At 45.0% G+C, this 5,564-nt stretch overlaps 2 annotated features.

Annotated features, from left to right (window-relative positions):
- Positions 718 to 1,353: an enhancer, noted in NCBI's record as "OCT4-NANOG-H3K4me1 hESC enhancer chr16:23797941-23798576 (GRCh37/hg19 assembly coordinates)". NCBI's record gives its function as "activates a minimal SCP1, AML or CMV promoter by ChIP-STARR-seq in primed H9 embryonic stem cells {active_cell/tissue: H9 hESC(primed)}" and the evidence as "EXISTENCE:reporter gene assay evidence [ECO:0000049][PMID:30033119]".
- Positions 1,354 to 1,989: an enhancer, noted in NCBI's record as "OCT4-NANOG-H3K27ac hESC enhancer chr16:23798577-23799212 (GRCh37/hg19 assembly coordinates)". NCBI's record gives its function as "activates a minimal SCP1, AML or CMV promoter by ChIP-STARR-seq in primed H9 embryonic stem cells {active_cell/tissue: H9 hESC(primed)}" and the evidence as "EXISTENCE:reporter gene assay evidence [ECO:0000049][PMID:30033119]".

A 5,564-nucleotide genomic window follows, 5' to 3' on the forward strand; every position in this document is an offset into this window, starting at 1 on the left:
TGCCTCAATGTCAGCTGGGGCGACAGCCATGTGTCTGTCAGTATCAGCCCACACTGGTTCACATGATGGTAGGAAAGTTCTCAGCAGCAAGAGAGTAAATCCTAATGTGCAAGAAGGCTTCCAGCCTCTGCTTGCATCACATTGGTTAATGTCCCATTGGTCAAAGCAAGTCACATGACTAAGACCAGATTATACATAGAGGTGACCTTCTCAAGATATGGATGTGGGGAGGGGGTGGATTATGGTAGTCATCTTATAAACAACCAGCTGCGTACTCTTATTATCCTCATTTTACTGATGATGGTTAGATAAGTTAAGAATCTTGTTACAGGTCACACAGCTGCTATAAGGTAGAGCTCAGCCTCAACTTTAGGTCTATATGGTGATGAAGCCTGTGCCTTAAGTCCTGTGCTATTTGTATTGCTTCCTTCCTCAGACCTGGACTGTTGTGTCTCAGCCCAGGGAAGAGGAGAGATGAGACACTTAACTAGCCTCCTCCAGGGACCACTGATCATAGAGCCTAGCCATTGCTTGTGCAGCCAGCTGGACTTAGCAACCCCTGCAATGCTGAAGAGAGTAATTCTCATGAATCTAACAATTCCGCCATTGCACTGGATTCTGTACCTTCAGATTAGTATTGGAGATCTATTACATAGACCGTAGGAAATAGATGGAAAGGATAAAGGATGGCAGCAGAAATAGGGCCCCACATTTGCTTCATGGGCAATCATCAAGCATCTACTGTGTCTGGGCTAGATTGTGGTTATTCAGGCAAAGTGCAGGAAGGGGAACAGTTGCTCTCTAAAGTACATTTTCAACAAGAGAACATGTTGACTGAGGGACATTAAAGACTGAGATGAAAGGCACTTAGATGCAGAAGCTGCAAGACAGTAAGACCTTGAGATTTGTAGGGAAGAGCAGAGGAGAGAAGACATTTCTTAATAATAACCAGCTGCTTTACCAGTGCTGGTGCAGACACTACCCCCTCTCACCAGGTGGTTATAGAAACTGCACCTTCTTCTATCCAATTTCAAGCCCACCATCTCTTAAATTTAAGGTCTCCAAAAGAACAGTTTTTGATGACACTGGGAAGAGGGTGAGCAGGCAGATTTGGGGTGGGAATTGAAGGAATCAAATCCCAAACTCCATTTTAGATTTGCAATCAAGCTGAAACTCTCAGCACCCCCAGAGTATGCCTTTAAAAGGAAAAAAAAAAGGCTATTTGTAAGAAAAAAAGACCAAGGTTTGCATCTGAATGGAGTGCCAATCAGCACTCATTAGTGGGAACACAATGCGGCCCCATTAGCACGAAAGGAGCTTTGGCAATTGCTCATTAGCTTTGTAGATTCAAATAATTATTTTAAGGGATGCTTCGGTGTTTGATGAGATCCAGCAGTGTCAATGATATGCCACTTTTCTCCCCAAAGAAAGGGAATGTTCCCAGGAGTAATTGTACTCTCTTATCCCCCTCCCTTCTCACTCACACCTCAATGCTTCTCTATATACTCCCGGGGGTACAGGATCTCAACAAAGGGCTGAAGGTGGATAGAAACTTCTCCATCAAGATATTACTCACAGGAAAACTGTGGTCCCGAGAGTACAGGAACACAAAAGTAGTTATCTGAAGAGCTGGGAGAATCTGTTTATTACACGCACTCCCTTCTTCCATTGACAGGAGGGAATCTCGATGAGCTGGGGGAAGAATAGAAACATGCAATAGGGTCTTGAGTACATACTCAAGAGAGAGGAGTGTGGGCATACCAAGGGAAGGAATATTCATGAAAATTCCTGGAAAAAGCTGGAGATTTCTCAGAATTATGGTGCCACCAATTTTTACATCAATATGGGTGCTCCTGGAACTGTCCTGGCACTGGTGGGTTTGTGATTAAGAATGTTAATGAGTATATAGGCTGGGTGCAGTGGCTCATTCTTGTAATCCCAGCACTTTGGGAGGCCGGGGCAGATCACCTGAGGTCAGGAGTTCAAGACCAGCCTGACCAACATGGTGAAACCCTGTCTCTACTAGAAATACAAAAATTAGCCAGGTGTGAATGTGGGCACCTGTAATCCCAGCTACTTGGGAGGCTGAGGCAGGAGAATTGCTTGAACCCAGGAAGCAGAGGCTGCAGTAAGCTGAGATCACGCCATTGCACTCCAGCCTGAGTGACAAGAGTGAAACTCCATCTCAAAACAACAACAAAACAAACAAACAAACAAAAACATAAGGTTCTAGGTGAAACCTAGGTCAAATCCAGTGCCAATTAAGTTCAATTGGTCTTAGCCAGCATGGTCCACACCCTGGTTTTTCAGGGTTTTATCAGACCCTAGCTTCTGCAGCTATTTCAACATCTGCCTTTTGCCTAGCCATGTGAAAGTGCTGCCTGGAATTTTCTGTTCTCCTGTGACCACCCTGTATTATTCCTGTCTCACTTTGATGAAAATTTCAAAGATCAGAACTCTGTCCAAGGGGCTGGAAAATTGGGGTGGGCACAACTTTTTTTTTTTTTTGGCTGGAAGGAACATTCTGGAGGATAAGGTGGGTCACAGGGGACCTATGAAGGGGAACTTCTTAGGCCTAATTCTGCTGTAGGCATTAAGGGAGTGCTCCTAGAGCAGTGCTTGACACAGGGTAAGAGCTCAATAAGACAATGGTTAAAAGCCCAGGTGTTAAAATAGATGGATTTAGGCTCAAGTTCCATCATTCTCAGAGATCTGCCCTTTCACCAAACTTCTAGGGTGATTCTTATGCACATTATTGTTTGAGAACTGCTGAGACAGACAGTACTATTTCTGATAATTAATGCTGGTCCTCTGGAGCTTGTATTTGGGGAGGAAGAAGGATGAATCCCACTGTGAGGTCCACTTCTGTGGTTAGAATGTGGCAAAAACTTGGTTTCCTCTTCCTCTTTCCCAATAAAACCTCCATTTATTTTTTGCTGTCTACTGTCCTCCACGTGGTCATGTTCTTTACAGGAAGCGGTCTCTGACCTCAAGAAGTTAATAGTAATTGGTCTAAACCAACCATGTTTTCCTATTTCCCTTGCTTAGTGATAGGCTCAGCATGGGCACATGAAATAATTCTGGTCAATGAGACACGAGTGGGGAGTGTATTGGAGTTTCTGGCAAAGGTCTTCCTTAATGATTGAAAGGAGATTGATTGAAAGAGGGAAGAAACAGCCCCTTTATGAAAGAGGGAAGAAACAGCCCCTTTACTGTCTCTGGTTATTTGAGAACATGCTGGCTGGAGCTTGGGCAGCCATCTTGTGCCCATGACGGGGGCTGATTTAGGTCAAGGATAACAGTGGAAATCCACAAAGAAGTGGGCCTTTACTAATGTAATTGAGCTGTCAAATCAATCAACCATGAAGCTTCCCCATTTTATTATGTGAGATAATAACATTTCTTCAGTGTGTAAGGTCAGATCAGTTGCAGGCTCTGTTTCTTGCTCTGAAAGTTTTCCAGAGAGGAGGGATGGAGATGTATACTGAGAAGGCCTGAAGAAGGAGGGACTGAATAGAGGGAGAAGCCTGAGAATGGCTAGGAACTGGAGTGCATCTTTAAGGAGAGGCCCTATGAGTGGCCCAGACTTTACTGCAGCACAGTGGCTAAAATCAAGGACTTTAGAATCAGAATGTCTTGGTTCAAATTCTACCTCCACCACTTACTAGTTATATCACCTTGGGTAAATTACTTAACCTCAGTTTCATTGTTTGTAAAACAGGATCATGGTGGTATTAACCTCACAGGGTTTAAGAAGGTGAGTAGGGCTGGGCACAGTGGCTCACCCCTGTAATCCTAGCAGTTTGGGAGGCCAAGGCAGGTGGATCACTTGAGCTCAGGAGTTTAAGACCAGCCTGGACAACATGGTGAAACCCCATCTCTGCAAAAAAATACAAAAAATTAGCCAGGCATGGTGGCACATGCCTATAGTCCCAGCTACTTGGGAGGCTGAGGTGGGAGGATGGCTTGAGCCCAGGAGGCGGAGGTTGCAGGGAACAGGGATCACACCACTGCACTCCAGCCTGGGTGACACAGCCAGACCCTGTCTCAAGAAAAAAATAAAAAATAAAAAAAGATTAGTTAATAATGTAAAGTACCTAGTGTAGTGTGATCTGAGAGACCTATGTGTAATGTGCTCAGAGACTGAAACAGACACCCCTTTATCAACTAAGACAAGCCCAAGGTTAAGGAAACAAAAGTTACCTACCTAAGGTCAAGGGTTCAGGTCCTGGCAGGCATGGCAAATTTCTAAATTCCTATAGCTATAAGAAAAACCAGCTGGGCGCTGTGGCTCATGCCTGTAATCCCAGCACTTTGGCATACCTAGGAGGGCAGATTGCTTGAGTCCAGGAGTTTGAGACCAGCCTCGGCAACATGGCAAAATCTCATTTCTACAAAAAATGCAAAAATTAGTTGGATGTGGGCATACCTGTATGCCCAGCTACTCAGGAGGCTGTGAGAGGATTGCTTAAGCCTGGGAGGTGGAGGCTGCAGTGAGCCATGATTGCACCACTGCTCTCCAGCCTGGGTGACAGAGCGAGACCCTGTCTCAAAAAAGAAAAAGAAAAAGAAAAAAGTAAAATCACAGCCTTGCTAAACTCCCTAACCATAGGAGCTATATCAGGTGAATTTACGGCCCAGACCGCTACAACTCTGGACAGGGACCAGCCTTATAAACATTGTTTTCTTATATGGAACTGCAGACCTTAAGCCAGTTTCAGCGGCTTATAGAGGCTGCACACAAGCTTTCTTTGTGTCCTGTAGGTCACCTTTTGACGTAACGAGTCAAATTCCACCTCATTTTAATGCTAAAACCTGCCCCGAAGTGAACATGGGATGTATGCTACGTCCCGTGTGTGTGTGATTAAGAATGTTAAAAAGCATATAGGCTGGGTGCAGTGCCTCATGCCACTGCAGATTCCCCTTCCTGCACTTTGCCTGAATAACCAGAATCTACCCGAGACACAGTAGGTGCTTAATGATTGCCCATGAAGCAAATGTGGGGCCCTATTTCTGCTGCCAATGTTTACCCATTGCTCATGCATTTGGCTCCTCTCATAAATATGTATAGCGTTCTCCCAAACCTGCTGAATATGCATGACTATTGTATAATAAGACCTTGTGTGACACAAAACCCAACCTGCCCTTTCTCTCTTCAAAGCTAAGTGTGGTGGCTTATGCCTGTAATCCCAGTACTTTGGGAGGCTGAGGTAGCCAGATTGCTTGAGCCCAGGAGTTTGAGACCAGCCTGGGCAACATGGTGAAACCTTGTCTCTGCAAAGAAAATACAAAAATTAGCCAGGTGTGGTGGGGGCATGCCTGTAGCTCACTGTAGCCTCGAATTCCTGGACTCAAGTGATCCTCCTGCCTCAGCCTCCTGAGTAGCTAGGACTGTGATGTGTGCTACCATACTTGACTATTTTTTTTTTCTTTTTGTACAGATGAGGGTCTTTGTGTATTTCCCAGGCTGGTCTTAAACTCCTGTCCTCAAGTGATCCTCGGCCTCCCAAAGTGCTGGGATTACAGGTATAGGCCAGCATGCCCAGCCTAACCCATTTTAGACA

Source organism: Homo sapiens, chromosome 16 (assembly GCF_000001405.40).
Source record: "Homo sapiens chromosome 16, GRCh38.p14 Primary Assembly".
In the NCBI taxonomy this organism is placed as follows: domain Eukaryota; kingdom Metazoa; phylum Chordata; class Mammalia; order Primates; family Hominidae; genus Homo; species Homo sapiens.